Genomic DNA, 19,157 nt, shown 5'->3' on the forward strand with positions numbered 1-19,157 from the left:
GTACCAGAATCCTTAACATAGCTTATGTGGTCTTTTGTGACTACTTCTCAAATGTAATTTCTGGACTTTTTTTTCCCCCAGCCATTCTGGCTTTCTTTCACTTTCTAGAATGTTGTTCTCTGTATCTGGAATACTTCTCCCCACTTCACCTACTTTTACGTACTTATTTTTCAGATTCAGCTTAAATGGTACTTGCTGATGGAAGGCTTTACTGATCCCCCACACTGGGTTAAATCCTCATATACATTTTCATGTATTTGGGTATTTCTCATTTACATCATTTATCACAATTATAAGGGTCATTTGTCTGACTTGGTTTTTTTTTTTTGAGATGGAGTTTCACTCTGTCACCCAGGGTGGAGTACAGTGACGCCATCTCAGTTCACTGCAACCTGTGTCTGCTGGGTTCAAGCGATTCTCCTGCCTCAACCTCCTGAGTAGTTGGGACTACAGGCACATGCCTCCATGCCAGGCTACTTTTTGTATTTTTTTACTAGAGAGGGGGTTTCACCATGTTGGCCAGGCTGGTCTTGAACTCCTGACCTCAAGTGATACACCCACCTTGGCCTCCCAAAGTGCTGGGATTACAGGTGTGAGCCACCACGCCTGGTCTTGTCTTACTTGTTTTTGTGTTTGTTTCTCCTACAGGAGTGTATGCTCCCTTTGTTAGTCAAAAAATATTTTTTGAGTTCCTGCTATGTGTCAGGAACTGTGCCAGGTGATGGATGATGTTATGTTGAAAAAACTCACATTATTCCTGCCCTCATGAAACTTATAGTTGAGTGAGGCAGTCGGGCTATGTTTATCTTGCTTACTCTTGAATCCCTAGACCCTTAGGCCTAGCACTTAGTGGGCTCTCACTAGATCTGTGTGGAAGAGAGTCGGGTGCAAAAAGCAAATTGGTGCTTAAGGATTCTAACCATTCTTCATATTTGTAGAGGGATGAAGAAGTTTCTCTGGGGATGTCTGAGGGGCTATCTTGGGAGTACTCTGGTGCCTGTGTTCCTCTTGCCTTACTTCCCAATCCCTTTGTTTCCTAGGTTTGCTGAGGCAGCTGTTGAAGTATGATCTCTTTGTGTCCATGATCATGAACCAGGATGGACTGGGAGAAAGTGCTAAGAATATCGAAGGGTCATCAGGAAATACCTCACTGCCTTTGGTGCTCAAAAAGGTAGTTGTCTTGTGATTCCTGGTCTCTAGGTTCAATAACAAGGGGACCCAAGTGCTTCTTGGGCCTTGTCTTCATCTACCACTCCTATCTCAGATTTCCAAGTGTTTTCTTACTGGGCAAAATAATATACTGGCTGGGGGCGGTGGCTCATGTCTGTAGTCCCAGCACTTTCGGAGGCCTAGGTTGGTGGATTGCTTGAGCCCAGGAGTGCAAGACCAGCTTGGGCAATATGGCAAAACCCTGTCTCTATAAAAAATACAAAAAAGTTGGGCGTGGTGGCTCACGCCTGTAATCCCAGCGTTTTGGGAGGCCAAGGCTGGCGGATCATGAGGTCAAGAGATTGAGACCATCCTGGCCAGCACAGTGAAACCCCATCTCTACTAAAAATACAAACATTAGCTGGGCGTGGTGGCACACACCTGTAGTCCCAGCTACTCGGGATGCTGAGGCAGGAGAATGCCTTGAATCTGGGAGGCGGAGGTTGCAGTGAGCCAAGACCGCGCCACTGCACTCCAGCCTGGTGACAGAACGAGACTCTGTCTCAAAAAAAAAAAAAAAAAAATTAGCTGGGCGTGGGCGTGGTGGTATGCACCTGTAATCCCAGCTACTCAGGAGGCTGAGGTGGGAGGATTGCTCGAACCCAGGAGGCGGAGGTTGCATTGAGCCATGATCATGCCACTACACTCCAGCCTGGGTGATAGAAAGTAGATTTCCTTTCATTTGTAAATTCTTTTTTTTTTTTTTTAAGTGCCGAGGTCTTGCTCTCTCCACTCAGGCTGGAATGTAGTGGCACAATCACGGCTCACTGCAGCCTCAACCTCCTGGGCTCAAGCGATCCTCTTGTCTCAGCTTCCTGAGTAGCTGAGACTACAGGTGTTCACCATGAGGCATGGCTAATTTTTAACTTTTCGTAGAGACAGGGATCTTTCTATGTTGCTTGGGCTGGTCTCAACTCCTGGGCTCAAGTGATTCTCCCACCTTGGCCTCCAAAGTGCTGGGATTACAGGTGTGAGCCACTGCACCTAGCCTCAGTTGTAAATTATTATTATTTTTTTTTTGAGATGTAGTCTCGCTGTTGCCCAGGCTGGTGTGCAGTGGCGTGATCTTGGCTCACTACAACCTCCGCCCCCCAGGCTCAAGCAATTCTCCTGCCTCAGCCTCCTGAGTAGTTGGGATTACAGGCGCCAAGCCACCATGCCCGGCTAATTTTTTGCATTTTTAGAAGAGACGGGGCTTCACCATGCTGGCCAGGCTGGTCTCAAACTGCTGACCTTGTGATCCGCCTGCCTCGGCCTCCCAAAATGCTGGGATTACAGGCATGAGCCCCCAGGCCCAGCCGTAAATTCTTACCTCTGCACTTCCCCTTCACATTTGGGCTGCCTGAAAATGGAGAATACTTACAGCAATAGAAACAAAGTCACCTCAGTTGCTTTAGGGATCAGATTCTGAGCTTGGTACTGAGAACCTTCTTTATCTGGATATCCTTCAGCCTCACTTTCCTGTCTCTTCCACCCCACAACCCAGTGCTCCAGCCACATGCAGTCTTTCCCTGGTCCTGCATATGCTAGGTCATCCTGTCTCACTGCCTGTGCAGTTGCTCTTCCTCTGCCTATAGGGCATTTCTCCTCTCTTTATCTGCTGATATGAGTCAGCCTTCAAGCCTATAGGGCTCCCCTGTCACCCTGGCTCCTTTAGGCGGAATGTGACCCACTGTCACCGTGCTTACCTCATACCATATTGTGGTTGACTGGCTGGGAGCTCTTTCAGGGCAAAACCTGAGTCTGGCATCTTTCCCCAGTGCTCGGCACGGGGGCTGGCAGAGCTGCAAACCCTGATGTGATAGCAGGGGTTGATTGCCCAAACTCTGGGGCTCTTTCTGCAGCAAGGAAGAGGAGGAGGAGCTCTGGTTAGAAGTGAGAAGGGAGGCCGGGTGCAGTGGCTCATGCCTGTAATCCCAGCACTTTGGGAGACCGGGACGGGTGGATCACGAGGTCAGGAGTTCGAGACCAGCCTGGTCAACATGGTGAAACTCTATCTCTACTAAAAATACAAAAATTAGCCAGGCGTGGTGGCACACACCTGTAATCCCAGCTATTTGGGAGGCTGAGGCAGGAGAATATAGCAAGAAAAGTTTGTCCTGAGACTACAGCAAGAAAAGAAAAGAACTGACTTCTAAAGAAAATAGTTTAGTCCATTTCAGAGTTTAAATGTCGGTCATCAAGTGTAATGAGCTAGGATCAGGTTTCTGACTTAGGAATCATACACGTATTCCATAAGTTTTAGTGTAGTTTTAAGCTTAAAACTTAACTTAAAAGCAGTAACTTAAAAGCAGTTACTGTTGCCATTTTCAAACATATGTACTTAAACAACAACAGGGAAACTAAAAATGTGTTATCAAATCACAAAACTGAAGTGTAATGAAATTTAACCAATTAAACTTCAAAAAAGAATATTTATTTTAAACCAAGAATCATTGTTTTAATGGATACATATCATATTTCTTTGATTCTGAGATACATTTTTTCACATTTTAACAGCTCTGAAATTGGGAGACATTTTACCATCAATGGTGCATCATAGTTTAATTGGGAGCACTTTTTCTTTCTTAGTGGTACATAAAATAATGGCTTGCGTTACATCAATAGCATCTTAAGATACAATATGTCATTTCTTTTATAAAAGAGAACAAGATAAAGATTAATTTCTTTTTTTTTTTTTGAGATGGAGTCTCGCTCTGTCGCCCAGGCTGGAGTGCAGTGGCGATATCTTGGCTCACTGCAAGCTCCACCTCCCGGATTCATGCCATTCCCCTGCCTCAGCCTCCCGAGTAGCTGGGACTACAGGCGCCCGCCACCACACCCAGCTAATTTTTTGTATTTTTAGTAGAGATGGAGTTTCACCGTGTTAGCCAGCATGGTCTCGATCTCCTGACCTCGTGATCCACCCGCCTCAGCCTCCCTAATTTCTAAACTCCTTTATATACTATCAGAAAATCTGGCTTTTTTTTTTCTTTTCCTGATAAGTCTGACAAGTAGGAAGGCTGTTTATGTGTCCACTTGTAAGTCCAATATGGCTGAGATGGGGTTAAGCTTGCAGTCCTCAGATGTATCTTTACCAGACATTAGTAGTCTCATGTCTACTTGGTCCTTTTTCTTAAAAGCTGTAAAACCAGGTATGCCCTCCATTCTTCTGGTGATGTATATTCTGTTTGGCATTTTTCTCCCCCAAAATCAGCTTCTATGATACTTAAAATCTGTGGTTGCAGTTAACGCTTTTCTTGATTTCTGAAAGTGTTAGAGGCATCCCTAATAGCTATGGTGACGAGTAGGAGTTTGGATATTATTCAGAGTGCAATGGAAATTCACTGAGATGTTTGGAGTAGCAAATATGCCTGATCTAAAAATTCTGATGGGGGAGGCATCACAGTTGTGGGTAGACTCCTAGATTTGGACTTGGCTGACCTGAGTTTGTGCCTTAGCTTTGCCACTTATCAGCTGTGTAGCCTAGAGTAAGTAACCTAACCTTGCTAAAGGTTCCCAAAGACTACCCCTAGGTTTGATGATTTGCTAGGAGGACTCATAGGACTCAACGTATAGTCATACTCATAGCTACGATTTACGGCAGTGTAAGGAAAGCAGTATCAGCAAAAGGAAAGGTGCATGGGGCGAAGTCTGGTGGAACCAACACAAGCTTCCAGAGTCCTGTCTCAGTGGAGTCACATGGGATGCACTTCTTAATTTCCCCAGGAATGAACTGTGACATGTGAAACCTTACCTACTGAGGAAGCTCATCGGAGTGTCAGTACCCCAGGTTTTTATGGGGGACTGGCCGTTCACGTAGGTATCCTCTGCTGAGCATGTACCAAAATTCCAGACTCCCAGAAGGAAAACAGGTATTCAGCATAAACTACAGTTGTCCCTTGTATACACGGGAGATTGGTTCCAGGACCGCCGGCATATACCCAGACCCACATATACTCAAGTCCTACAGTCAGCCCTGGCAAACTCCAGTAAGTTGGCCCTGTTCATATGCCAGTTTCACATCTAGTGAATACTGCATTTTCCATCAGCGTTCAGTTGAAAAAAGGCCACATATAAGTAGAACCACACAGTTCAAGCCTGTGTTGTTCAAGGGTCAACTGTTCATTGTACACATAGTTTAGTCACAGTGAGCCACTCTCTCAGTTCCGTTAGGAACCCTCCTGAAATCCAAGTTCCCAAACCCAGCCAAGAGCCAGCCTTGCAGAGAGGGTTTTCTAAGTATAATAGCCTCAGGCCTACTGTGTTAAATCTTTTCTGTGCACTCAATAAATTGAGGTTTATAGTAGAACCTTCCCTTGTTATGTCACAGAATTGTTGCAAACATCAAAGCCAGATGAGGGCCAGCTGGGCACAGTGGCTCATGCCTGTAATCCCAGCATTTAGGGAGGCCAAGGTGGGAGGATCACTTGAGCCCAGAATGGGCCATATACTGAGACCTTGTCTCTATAAAAAATTTTAAAATGAGCTGGGGCTGAGCATGGTGGCTCATGCTGTAATCCCAGCATTTGGGGAGGCCAAGGCAGGTGGATGGCTTAAGCTCAGGAATTTGAGACCAGTCTGGGCAACATGGTGAAACCCTGTCTCTATAAAAATAAAAATTAGCCAGGGTGGTGGTGCATGCCTGTAGTCCCAGCTACTTGAGGGGCTGAGGCAGGAGGATTGCTTACGTTGGAGAAGTTGAGGCTGCAGTGAGTCATGTTCACACGGCTGCACTACAGCCTGGGTGATAAAGTGAGACCCTGTGTCAAAAAAAAACAAAATAGTAATAAGGCAAGGCGTAGTGGCTCATGCCTATATTCCCAGCACTTTGGGAGGCCAAGGCAAGTGGATCACGAGGTCAGGAGTTCGAGACCAGCCTGGCCAATATGGTGAAACCCTGTTTCTACTAAAAATACAAAAATTAGCTGAGCGTGGTGGTGCACGCCTGTAGTCCCAGCTACTCAGGAGGCTGAGGCAGAAGAATCGCTTGAACCCAGGGAGGCGGAGGTTGCAGTGAGCCAAGATCATGCCACTGTACTCCAGCCTGGGCGACAGAGTGAGACTCCGTCTCAAAAAAAAAAAAAAAAAAAGGTACCAGGCATGGTAGCATGTGCCTGTAGTCCCCGCTACTCAGGAGGCTGAAATGAGAAGATCGCTGGATACCTGGAGGCAGAGGTTGCAGTGAGCCATGAGCCATGATCATGCCACTGCACTCCAGCCTGGGCAACAGAGTGAGACCTGTTTCATAAATAAATAAACCAGATGACTTTGAAAGTACTTTTGTTAATGAAGGCTTGAGCACTTATTGGTGATAACAGTTACAGTGTTCTTTGAGTGCCCCTGGTGAGTTTTACATTGTGTTCTTTCCTTATTTTTCTCACCTGCTGCTGTTCACGGAGACCCCTTCCCATAATCCATAACTGCTCTCCTGACCACCATCCTTGTGCCTGGTGCCATGTGGGACAGGAAGGATCGAAAATGAATTAGGCTATTGCCCTGAGGCACCTAGGCCAGTTTTTCTGGTCCTATTCGTGGTGTGACTGGGGTACTTTTTGCTGCCTGTTTCTCCAGCTTCTCCTCTCTAGAGATGAAACCCTGCAGGTGGCCAGTGCTCACTGTATAACTGCGGTGCTTGTCCACTCCCCAGCAAAGCATGCGTCAGCCTTCATCCACGCTGACATCCCAGGTAGGGGAACACTTCTAACCTTCTCCTCCCTATACTAGAAGGATGGGGTGGTGACAGGTTCAATTGTGTATGACAGACCCTATGAACTATGTCTCATAACATCTGAATCCTATTGCTACAGATTTCTTGTATGACCTTGAGCAATTTGTTACCGATTTTTGTCATTTATTTGGTCATCTATGAATAAAAACCTAATGTGGGGTGGTGAAAAGACCTGTGGACCAGGTAGGCAACAGGAAACAATATTTTTCAAGGGACTATTATGAGCAGGGACTGTTATGAGATGCATTGCAAATGTTACCACATTTAGGTCTTCATCTTCACTATTTTATAGATAAGGAAATTGAGGCTCAGAGAATGAAATAATTGGCAGGCCTAGTCATTGGCAGAGATGGGATAAAAAGTCAAGTCTCTCTGACTCTAAAAACTCTTTTTCCTTCATCCACGCCACTGCCCATTCTGAGAATTAGGAGACTTAAGTTCCAACTCTACTTCCGCCACTAATAGTGCCTCTTCTCTGGGACTCAGTTTCCCCACCTGTTAAAAAGAAGAGGTTAAACCATAACCAAGGGCACTTTCCAGGTTTATTAGTGGATTGATGATCATGACTCATGGAGAGGATATGTGAACAGATGAAGTAGCAAGAGTAAGGTGCTGAATAAATCCAAGGCCTTAGCATCAGTTAAGGGATCGTGATCACATGGCTGTCATTTATTGTTTTCTCATCCTCTCCCTTGTTAGAGTTCCTCTTTGAGCATCTTTCTTCTTCCAGTGAAGTGCTCGTCTGGTCCAGCTGTAACTGCTTGACACTCCTGGTAGAAGAGCCACTCTTTTTTTCCAAGTGCCACACGGTGTATGGTTGGTAGTAAGGGTCCTGTACTAGCTTTGGGTTGGGTGGACGGCAGTTTGCACTTGGGTAGCAGCCGCAGTGATGGGGGGCTAGCCTCCACCTTGGAGGGGAGCACTGAGTCTAGACATTTCATCAGCCCAAACTCATTACCAGATTTCATATGCAAGTATTGATATCCAAATGTTCTGCTGTTCGCTGATTATCGGAAGTATATATGTTTAGACGCTTCAGCAAGGGAAGGACACTTCTTTTAGCCACTAAATGAATTCCTGTTGCATGTTAACAACAACTCTAAACAGTGTTACTCAACCTTAGATTTAGTTCTTTCCCATGCCGCAGATATCTAACCATCCAGGTAGTCTCTAAGTTTTGCTAATTTATTCTTTCAAAGTTTCTTGAAACTGTCCTTCCTTGTCTGGGACTTTTTTTTTTTTTTTTTTTTGAGATGGAATCTCACCCTGTCACCCAGGCTGGAGTACAATGGCGTGATCTCGGCTCACTGCCACCTCTGCCTCCCAGGTTCAAGCAATTCTCCTGCCTCAGCCTCCCGAGTAACTGGGATTACAGGCATGTGCCACCACGCCCAGCTAATTTTTTGTATCTTTAGTAGAGATGGGGTTTTACCATGTTGTCCAAGCTGGTCTCAAACTCCTGACCTTGTGATCCACCCACCTTGGCCTCCCAAAGTGCTGGATTACAGGCATGAGCCACCACGCCAGGCGACTTTTTCTTTTTTTGAGACGGAGTCCTGCTCTGTCACCCAGGCTGGAGTGCAATGGCACAATCTTGGATCACGGCAACCTCTGCCTCTGCCTCCCAGGTTCAAGCACTTCTCTTGCCTCAGCCTCCCAGGTAGCTGGGATTAGAGGCGACTGCCAGCACACCTGGCTAATTTTTTTGTATTTTTAGTAGAGACGGGGGTCTCTCCATGTTGGCCAGGCTGGTCTTGAACTCCTGACCTCAGGTGATCTGCCTGCCTCGGCCTCCCAAAGTGCTGGGATTACAGGCGTGAGTGCACTGTCTGGGACTTATTATACCACATCTAGATTTTTAGAGTAGGCACATTCAGTCATTCATTTTATATTCCTAGTTTATGCCAGGCACCAGGCTGGGACCTGGAGATTTAGAGATAACAAATAACATTGGTTCTTGCCCTCAGAAAAGGGAGAGAGATGCAAAGGGAAATTTCATTATGAGCTGATTAGAGCTCTGCTAGAGGGAAGCACAGGAGCTGTGGGGGCTCAGGGGAGGTTCACAGCTCTGAATGGATCAGGGAAGGCTTTTTGGAGGAGTGGGGTTTTGACCTGATTCTCCAAGGAGGAACAGGAGTATGCCAAGTGGAGAAAATATGGCTTGGTCAGTAGGTGTTCACTGAAAACCTCAAGTGCCAGGGACTGTGCTATGGCTTGTACTGGGTGTTGGGGAGATGAATCAGATGAGGGCCCGGCCTCAAAGATCTCACAGTCTGGTCCCATTAGCTCAATCTTGTCAGGGTCCCTCCACGAGTGGCCTCCAACTCATACATGCTGTCCAGAGCCTGTCACCTCTTCTGGGTGGGCAGTGAAGGAACAAGAGAGCACTGATCCCTGGCCTCTGTCATGTCATCCTGTGGTAGGGATCGAGGCAGTGGTGAGGAGCCTGCAGGGAAGCCTGAAGATGAACAACATAGAGCTGCACAAGCAGGGCCTGCTGCTTTTCGCTGAAATCCTGACCCGGTGAGCAAAGTGGTGGAACATGAGGCTTGTAGGGGCCAGACTGCAGAAGGAAAAGTGGGCTTTCACTCCTGGTGGGGTCAGTGAGAAGAGTTCACCTACTCGTTTCTCATCTTCCATTTCTCAGGCAGCCAGAGGAGATCAAGCTGTTCACAAGCTCAGCCATGTGCAGAGATGCTGGCCGTGCCCTCCAAGAAGCAGTTAGCAGCCCTGTGCTGGAGGTGGCTGCTGAGGCCTTGAAGGCCACTTCTGCTTTTCTGAGGTGAGAGACCCAGGCAGGCTGAACTTTCCATCCCTGCATATACCTAAGGGCCTGTTGAGGCCAGGGTAGCGGATATTTAAGTATCCCTAGATTACTTATAATACCTAATATAGTTGGCCCTTCATAATTGTGGATTCCACATCCATGGATTCAACCAACCATGGATTGAAAAATTTTTTTTTTTTTTTTTTTTGGAGATGGAGTTTTGTTCTTGTTGCCTAGGCTGGAGTGCAATGGTGTGATCTCAGCTCACTACAATCTCTGCCTCCTGGGTTCAAGTGATTCTCCTGCCTCAGCCTCCCAAGTAGCTGGGATTACAGGTGTGTACCACCATGCCCAGCTAATTTTTGTATTATTATTAGAGGCGAGGTTTCACCATGTTGGCCAGGCTGGTCTCGAACGCCTGACCTCAGGTGATTCACCTGTCTCAACCTCCCAAAGTGCTGGGATTACAGGCGTGAGCCACCGCATCCAGCTGAAAATTTTAAAGAATGGATGGTTGTGTCTGTATTGAACACGTACAGACTTTTTTTCTTGTTATTATTCCCTAAACAATACAGTATACGTTGGACATGGTGGCTCACACCTGTAATCCCAGCACTTTGGGAGGCCAAGGTGGGTTGGATCACCTGAGCCCAGGAGTTCAAGACCAGCCTGGGCAACACAACAGAACCTGTCTCTACTAAAAATCCAAAAATTAGCCAGGCATGTTGGTGCACACCTATAGTTCCGGCTGCTTGAAGGCTGAGGTGGGAGGATTGCTTGAACCTGGGAAGCAGAGGTTGCGGTGAGCTGAGATCACACCACTGCACTCCAGCCTGGGTGACAGAGTGAGACCTTGTCTCAAAAGAAAAAAGAAAAAAAGAAACCAGGCCAGGCACAGTGGCTTATCCCTGTAAACCCAGCACTTTGGGAGACCAAGGCAGGTGGATCACTTGAGTCAGGAGTTCGAGACCAGCCTGGCCAATGTAGTAAAATCCCATCTCTACAAAAACTTAACTGGGCATGATGGCGCATGCCTGTAGTCCCAGCTACTCAGGAGGCTGAGGCACGAGAATTGCTGCAGAGGTTGTAGTAAGCCAAGATTGCGCCACTGCACTCCAGCCTGGGTGACAGAGCAAGGCTCTGTCTCAAAAACAAAACAAAACAAAACACCCAAACAGTATAATAACTATTTATATAGCATTTGCATTGTATTAGGTATTATATGTAATCTAGAGATGATTTAAAGTATACTGGAGGACCACGTGCGGTGGCTCATGCCTATAATCCCAGCACTTTGGGAGGCCAAGGTCGGCGGACCACCTGAAGTCGGGAGTTTGAGACCAGCCTGGCCAACATGTAGAAACCCTGTCTTTACTAAAAATATAAAAAATTAGCCGGATGTGGTGTCACACACCTGTAATCCCAGCTACTCAGGAGGCTGAGATAGGACAATTGCTTGAACCTGGGAGGCGGAGGTTGCAGTGAGTGGAGATCACACCATTATACTCCAGCCTGGGTAACAGAGTGAAATTCTGTCTCAAAAAATAAAATAAAATAAAATAAAATAAATAAAGTATGCTGGAGGATGTGCATAGGTTATATGCAAATACTATACCATTTTATGTAAGGAGCTTGAGCATCCTGGTTTTGGTATCTTCAGGGGTCCTGGAACCAATTCCCCACAGATACTGAGGGACGACTATGCAATGTCAATGCAATGTAGACGGGGCGCGGTGGCTCACGCCTATAATCCCAGCACTTTGGGAGGCTGAGGCGGGCCAATTACCTGAAGTCAGGAGTTCAAGACCAGCCTGGCCAAGATGGTGAAACCCTGTCTCTACTAAAAATACAAAAATTAGTTGGGCATGATGGCGCTTGCCTGTAATCCCAGTTACTCAGGAGGCTGAGGAAGGAGAATTATCTGAGCCTGGGAGGCGGAGGTTGCAGTGATCTGAGATCTTGCCACTGTACTCCAGACTGAGGCCACAGAGTGAGACTCCATCTCAAAAACAAACAAACAAACAATGGAATGTAAATAGTTGTCATGCTGTATTTAAAATTTTTTTTGAGATGAAGTTTCGCTCTGTCGCCCAGGCTGGAGTGCAATGGTGTGATCTTGGCTCATTGCAACTGCTGCCTCCCAGGCTCAAGCAATTCTCCTGCCTCAGCCTCCCGAGTAGCTGGGACTACAGGTGCGTGCCACCATGCCCAGCTAATTTTGTATTTTTAGTAGAGATGGGGTTTCGCCACGTTGGCCAGGGTGGTCTCGAACTCCTGACCTCAGGTGATCCACCTGTGTCGGCTTCCCAAAGTGTTAGGATTACAGGTATGAGCCACTTGCACCTGGCCTACATTTTATATATTTTTTTATTGTATTTTTTTCTTTTTTTTGAGATGGAGTCTCCCTCTTTCACCCAGGCTGGGGTGCAGTGGCGTGATCTTGGCTCACTGCAACCTCCGCCTCCCAGGTTCACGCCATTCTCCTGCCTCAGCCTTTCTAGTAGCTGGGACTACAGGCGCGCGCCACCACACCTGGCTAATTTTTTTGTATTTTTAGTAGAGACGGGGTTTCACTGTGTTAGCCAGGATGGTCTCGATCTCCTGACCTCGTGATCCGCCCGCTTCGGCCTCCCAAAGTGTTTTTTTTTTTTTTTTTTTTTGAGATGGAGTTTTGCTCTTGTTGCCCAGGCTGGAGTGCAAAGGCATGATCTCGGCTCACCACAACCTCTGCCTCCCGGGTTCAAGTGATTCTCCTCCTGCCACAGCCTCCCGAGTAGCTGGGATTACAGGCATGCACCACTACACCCGGCTAATTTTGTATTTTTAGTAGAGACGGGGTTTCTCCATGTTGGGCGGGCTGGTCTCGAACTGCCGACCTCAGGTGATCCCCCACCTTGGCCTTCCAAAGTGCTGGGATTACAGGCGTGAGCCACCGTGCCCAGCCATATTGTTATTTTTTTTATAGATTTTAAAAAATATTTTTGGTCCACAGTTGATTGAATCCATAGATGTAGAATCCACAATACAGAGGGCCAAATTATACTTCCAAAGTGTTATGTTATCATGTCTTTTGTATTTTCTCTGTTGTTTTGAATTTATATCTTGAAAGAAAATTCTCTTTCATTTTGGTAAGGAGTAGCAGAGGTAACTGTATCTGTTGACTCCATCACCTTTAATCAGAAGCTGGCAGCTCTTTAACACCTATGAACTCCAGCCTCTAGCCCTGGTTCTCTTACTGTAGTTCCTCTTTGAATGCTCTCAGCCACTCACAGAGCTTCAGCTACTAGCTATATGTTGATAATGCTCAAATCTATAGTTCTTGCCTAAAATGCCTGTGTTAGTTTCCTATTGCTACAGGACCAGATTACCACAAACTTGAAAACAACAGGTATTTACCTTCTCATGGTTCTAGGGGGCCAGAAGTCCAAAATCAGTATCACTGAAATGAAATCAAGGTGTCAGCAGGGCCACACTCCCTTTGGAGCTTCTAATACGGAACACTTCCCTGCCTCTTCCAGCTTCTGGTGGCTCCGGGCATTCCATGACTTAAGGTCATATCACTGTAATCACTGCCTCTGTGACTACATTGTCTTCTCTTCTCTATGTGTATAATCTCCCTCTGCCTTTTCTCTTTCTTTTCTTAAATTTTTTTCTTTTTTCTTTTTCTTTTTTTTTTTTTGAAACGGAGTCTTGCTTTGTCTCCCACGCTGGAGTGCAGTGGCGTGATCTCAGCTCACTGCAAGTTGTGCCTCCCGGGTTCACGCCATTCTCCCGCCTCAGCCTCCCGAGTGGCTGGGACTACAGGTGCCTGCCACCATCCCTGGCTAATTTTGTTTTTGTATTTTTAGTAGAGACAGGGTTTCACCGTGTTAGCCAGGATGGTCTCGATCTCCTGACCTTGTGATCTGCGTGCCTCTGCCTCTCAAAGGGCTGGGATTACAGGCGTGAGCTACCGCGCCTGGCCAAAAAATTTTTTTTTATTTTTTGTAGAGATAGGGATCTTGCTATATTCCCCAGGCTGGTCTTGAGCTTCAGGCTTCAAGTGATCCTCCCACTTTGACCTCTCAAAGTACTGGGATTACAGGCATGAGTCATTATGCCTGGCTGCCTCTCTCTCATAAGGCTACTTATGATGGGATGTAGGGGACCACCTGAATAATCCAGGATAATGGCTTTATCTCAGGATTCTCTGTGAAAACTTTACTGTAGAAAATAACATAGGTTCCTGGGATTAGGACCTGACATCTTTGGGTACCACCATTCAGCCCACTATAGTGTTTTCCTGAACTCCAGACCACATTTCCAACTGCCTGGTGCTTTATTCCAGAACCTTCAATCTCAATTTGTCCATGCTACTAGCATATAGAGAAAAACACCCAATTTGGGATCTAAAGAATTAGATTTGGGTCCCTGGCTCCACAAACAGTACTCAGTCACTTCTTGTTCATTCCTCTGATCTGCTTTCTGTTTCTTGAACACATCAAACTTATTCCTGCCACTAATTATTCCAACTCTGCCCAAAATAATATTCCCTTAAATCATTGTGTGACTGCGTTTTTCTTATCATTCAAGTCTCATTCAGAATTTCCTTTCCTAATTGACCTTATCAGACTGCTATAGCACCTATCAAACATTTGAAAGTTATTGTTTATTCTTTTTTTTTTTTGAGACGGAGTCTTGCTCTGTCGCCCAGGCTGGAGTGCAGTGGCGCGATCTCGGCTCACTGCAAGCTCCGCCTCCTGGATTCACGCCATTCTCCTGCCTCAGTCTCCTGAGTAGCTGGGACTACAGGCGCCCACCACCACGCCCAGCTAATTTTTAAAAATATTTTTAGTAGAGAAGGGGTTTCAGTGTGTTAGCCAGGATGATCTCGATCTCCTGACCTCATGATCTGCCTGCCTCGGCCTTCCAAAGTGCTGGGATTACAGGCGTGAGCCACCGCGCCCGGCCTCTTTTTTTCTGGGGGGTGAGGGGTCAGAGTCTCACTCCGTCACCCAGGCTGGAGTGCAGTCATGCGATCTTAGCTAACTGAAACCTCTGCCTTCTGGGTTCAAGCAATTTTTCTGCCTCAGCCTCCCAAATAGCTGGAATTACAGGCGTGAGCCACTGAACCTGGCCTATTCATTTGTTTTGTACCCCGCCTCCCCCCACTAAAATATAAGCTCCAGGAGCTAAAGGACCTTGTCAGTTTTTTCACTGCTCTGTCTCTGGCTCCTCATAGGTAGTCAATATGCGAATGTAGGATGTTAAAATGGACAGTGAGACTAAGGGATCCTAGCACCACAATGGGAAATTATTCCTTAGCAAGGTGCTTGAAATCTTAAAAAATAATAATAATAACCGAGGAAACCCATATTTATAGAGTAACTTTTATTTTGTTACCATATTTTCTCTTTTAATTTTCTAACACAGTAATGTATTCAAATAATACAAAACAAAATATTGGCTGGGCACGGTGGCTCACGCCTGTAATCCCAGCACTTTGGGAAGTCAAGGTAGGAGGATCGCTTGAGGCTAAGCGTTTGAGACTAGCCTGGACAACATAGCGCCACCCCATCCCTACAAAACAATATAAAATAAAATAGGCCAGGCACAGTGGCTCATGCCTGTAATCCCAGCACTTTGGGAGTCCGAGGTGGGTGGATCACAATGTCAGGAGATTGAGACCATCCTGGCCAACATGGTGAAACCCCATCTTTACTAAAAATACAAAAATTAGGCTGGGTGTGGTGGCTCATGCCTGTAATCCCAGCACTTTGGGAGGCCGAGGCGGGCGGATCACGAGGTCAGGAGTTCGAGAACAGCCTGACCAACGTGGTTCATCCCCGTTTCTACTAAAAATATAAAAATTAGCTGAGCACAGTGGCGGGTGCCTGTAATTCCAGCTACACAGGAGGCTGAGGCAGGAGAATCGCTTGAACCTGGGAGGCGGAGGTTGCAGTGAGCCGAGATCATGCCACTGCACTTCAGCCTGGGCAACAGAGCGAGACTCTGTCTCAAAAACAAAACAAAACAAAACACCAAAATACAAAAATTAGCTGGGCGTGGTGGCACATACCTGTAATCCCAGTTACTTGCGAGGCTGAGGCAGGAGAGTCACTTGAACCAGGGAGTTGGAGGTTGCAGTAAGCCAAGATCACGCCACTGCACTACAGCTTGGTGACAGAGCAAGACTCTGTCTCAAAAAAAAAAATAAATAAATAAATAAGTAATAAAATAAATAAATAAAATTAGCTGGGTGTGGTGGCATGCACCTATGGTCCCAACTACTTGGGAGGTAAGGCGGGAGGATCACTTGAGCCTGGGAGTTTGAGGTTACAGTGAGCTATGATCACACCGCTGCACTCCAGCCTGGGTGACAGAGTGAGATCCTCTCTTGAAAATAAATAAATAAATTATAGAGGATTTATCATGAAAAGGAATAGGCTGGGCATGGTGGCTCACGCCTGTAATTCCAGCACTTTGGGAGGCCGAGGCAGGTGCATCACCTGAGGTCAGGAGTTCAAGACCAGCCTGGCCAACATGGCAAAACCCTGTCTCTACTAAAAATACAAAAAAAAAAAAAATTAGCTGGGCGTGGTGGCGAGTGCCTGTAATTCCCGTCTTAAATTTAAGACATTATTCATTGACTTGCCAGTTAGAAAGATCAATATTTAATTAGCTCACATTTTTTGTCTTCTCTACATGTCCTTGGCATTTTTGCTATTTAATATTTTGTTTTTAACCTTTAAATAATGTACCTAAAACTGGTATTTCTTGTTCCCTCAACTTGAAGCAGTGTCTCCTGAGTTCCTACGTGGTTAGCAGCACCCCAACTCTTCTTTTCCCCTCTCTTCCCTACTTCTACTTCTCAAGGCCAGTCAGCTATACCTTTAATTTTACATTGTGAAAGTTGTTAATATTTATAGTCTCTTCTGTAACTATATTTAAGTCTTTGTGATTTGACTCTAGGTTGGTTCTAAAAATTGAAACAAAAAATAGCATTTACGTGACAGTGACTTCAGTCTGTCTTCTTTCCTCCTTTGTCCTTCCCTGAATTTGAATCTCTAAATCTAGGACATGAATTCTAGAGTGGGAGGGATGAGTAAACCAACAAGGTAACAAAAGCATAAGTAAGAGCAATGTCAATCAGAGGCATCTATGCTGAGCTGGAAGTCTTCCAGCAGGACACTGCTAGAGGGGACCAGTAGTGCCTTTTGGGCAGGAAGTGGTATTTCAGTTGTACTATGAAGGGTGAGAGTTAGATTTGTGGAAGGACCTGGATTAGCAAAACATTTGGGTTCGAGAGTATAGAGATTGCTCAGGGTGCAGTAGCCAGTTGACCAGCAGGTTACATGAAGCGGGTGTTGCCTGGAGAAGCAGGAAAGCTGTTGGGTCAGAATTGTGGAGAGAGATGGATAGGGGGCAGGTTATTAAGCCTTGGATTATTTTACTTTTTTTTTGGTGGGGGGGGTGGAGTCTCGCTCTGTTGCTCAGGCTGGAGTTCAGTGGCTCGATCTCGGTTCACCACAACCTCCACCTCCCAGGTTCAAACGATTCTCCTGCCTTAGCCTCGCGAGTAGCTGGGACTACAGGTGCCCGCCACCACGCCTGGATACTTCTTGTATTTTTAGTAGAGATGCGTTTTCACCATATTGGCCAGGCTGGTATCGAATTCCTGACCTTGTGATCTGCCTGCCTCAGCCTCCCAAAGTGCTGGGATTATAGGCGTGATCCACCGCGCCCGGCCAAAGATGATTTTACTTTTGACTTTAACTTCCCAGAATGTTTACTGACGTGGTCCCTCTGAGGTGGGGTGGTTCAGAGTGTCTTTGGAAAGCACAACTAGAAGGAAGAATGAAGAGTGAGAGCTGCTAAAAAGAATTTAAAGAGGCCGGGTATAGTGGCTCACACCTGTAATCCCAGCACTTTGGGAGGCTGAGGCTGGAGGATCGCTTCAGCTCAGGAATTTGAGACTAGCCTGGATAACCTGAGGAAACGCTATCTCTACAAAAATTATCCAAGCTTGGTGTATGCCTGTAGTCCCGGCTACTCAAGAGGCTGAGGCAGGAAGATTGCTTGAGCCCAGGAGATTGAGGCTGCTGTGAGTTGTGTTTGTGCCACTGCACTCCAGCCTGGGCAGCAGAGCGAGACCCTGTCTCAAAAACAAAAACAAAAACAAAAACAAACCCAAGAATTTAAAGGTGGTGGAACTAGGGCTTGATGATCGTGTAGGATCGTCAAACTTGGAGCTTCCAGAGATGAAGAAGGAAAGGGGAAATCAAGCCGTAACCATATGCAGTTGACTGAGAACCTGTTAGAAGGCCCAACAGATGGCTCTCAGTGCTCAACAAAGGCTCAGGGATGAGGGTCTTGCTCTGTCACCAGGCTGGAGTGCTGTGATGTGATCTTGGCTCGCTGCAACCTCCAACTCCCTGGTTCAAGCGATTCTCCTGCCTCAGCCTGCCGAGTAGCTGGGATTACAGGCACGCGCCACCATGCCCAGCTAAATTTTGTATTTTTAGTAGAGACAGGGTTTCATATCATAATGTTTTAAGAAAGTTTACAAATTTGTGTCAGGCTGCATTCAAAGTTGTCCTGGGCTGCATGCGGCCTGTGGGCTGTGGGTGGGACAAGCTTGCTTTAGAGGGGACATGGCCCTGACGACACCTCAATTTCAGATTTCTAGCCTCCAGAACTGTGAGAGGATAAACTTCTGTTGTTTTAAGCCACACAGTTTGTGGTAATTTATTATAGCAGCCCTAAGAAACCAATACCCTGTGAAATAGTCATTCATTCATTTGACATCTGTTCTATTAATCATCAACTTACAATGCATCTGTCTCTGTTTAGGTAAAGTGAAAAGATGGAACTGGTCCCTTTCCTCTTGGAAACTCACAATTAAACTAGTCAATGACTGTTGGCTCTTCTGAGTCTATAGAATCTGAGGGTTCAAATGGGCCTTAGGTGTTACCTGTCTACATTTACCCCACACTCATAATGATTGAATCTCCAAAAGTACTTTTCCAGTCTCTGCGTATAGTCTCATAGAATGGGGAATCACTTCTCCCTAGAGATGGTCCCCAATACTTCTATAGACTTTGACTCAGAAAATTCTCAGGCTGATGCTGGGCGTGGTGGCTCACGCTTGTAATTCCAGCACTTTGAGAGGCTGAGGCGGCAGATCATGAGGTCAAGAAACCCCGTCTCTACTAAAAATACAAAAATTAACTGGGTGTGGTGGCGTGCGCCTGTAGTCCCAGCTACTTGGGAGGCTGAGGCAGGAGAATCACTTAAACCCGGGAGGCAGAGGTTGCAGTGAGCTTAGATTGCGCCACTGTACCCCAGCCTGGTGACAGAGCGAGACTCCATCTCAAAAAAAAAAAAAAAAAAGAGAAAAGAAAGTTCTCAGGCTGGGTGCAGTGGCTCATGCCTGTAATCCCACACTTTGGGAAGCTGTGGTGGGTGGATAACTTGAGGTCAGGAGTTTGA

The 19,157-nt window shown here is 46.3% G+C and overlaps 1 protein-coding gene across 29 annotated transcripts in view; it reads left to right on the top strand.

The window, feature by feature from the left end:
* The window catches only part of MEI1 (meiotic double-stranded break formation protein 1), a 99,952-nt gene that overhangs the window by 23,400 nt on the left and 57,395 nt on the right, over positions 1–19,157 (top strand). For 26 of the 29 annotated variants that reach the window (XR_937820.2, XR_937819.2, XR_007067959.1 and 23 more), the window contains 5 exons: positions 1,041–1,171; positions 6,763–6,877; positions 7,619–7,735; positions 9,343–9,442; positions 9,567–9,701. Coding sequence is in view for 25 of the 29 variants with exons in the window: in XM_011529945.4 (XP_011528247.1) it covers positions 1,041–1,171; positions 6,763–6,877; positions 7,619–7,735; positions 9,343–9,442; positions 9,567–9,701 (598 nt within the window). In the remaining 4 variants the exon portion in view is untranslated. Of the gene's footprint in view, positions 1–1,040; positions 1,172–6,762; positions 6,878–7,618; positions 7,743–9,342; positions 9,443–9,566; positions 9,702–19,157 lie in introns of those variants that run through there. The other 3 variants (XM_011529938.3, XM_011529952.3, XM_011529954.3) reach the window with 3 other exon arrangements.

Source organism: Homo sapiens, chromosome 22 (genome assembly GCF_000001405.40).
Source record: "Homo sapiens chromosome 22, GRCh38.p14 Primary Assembly".
Lineage (NCBI taxonomy): Eukaryota > Metazoa > Chordata > Mammalia > Primates > Hominidae > Homo > Homo sapiens.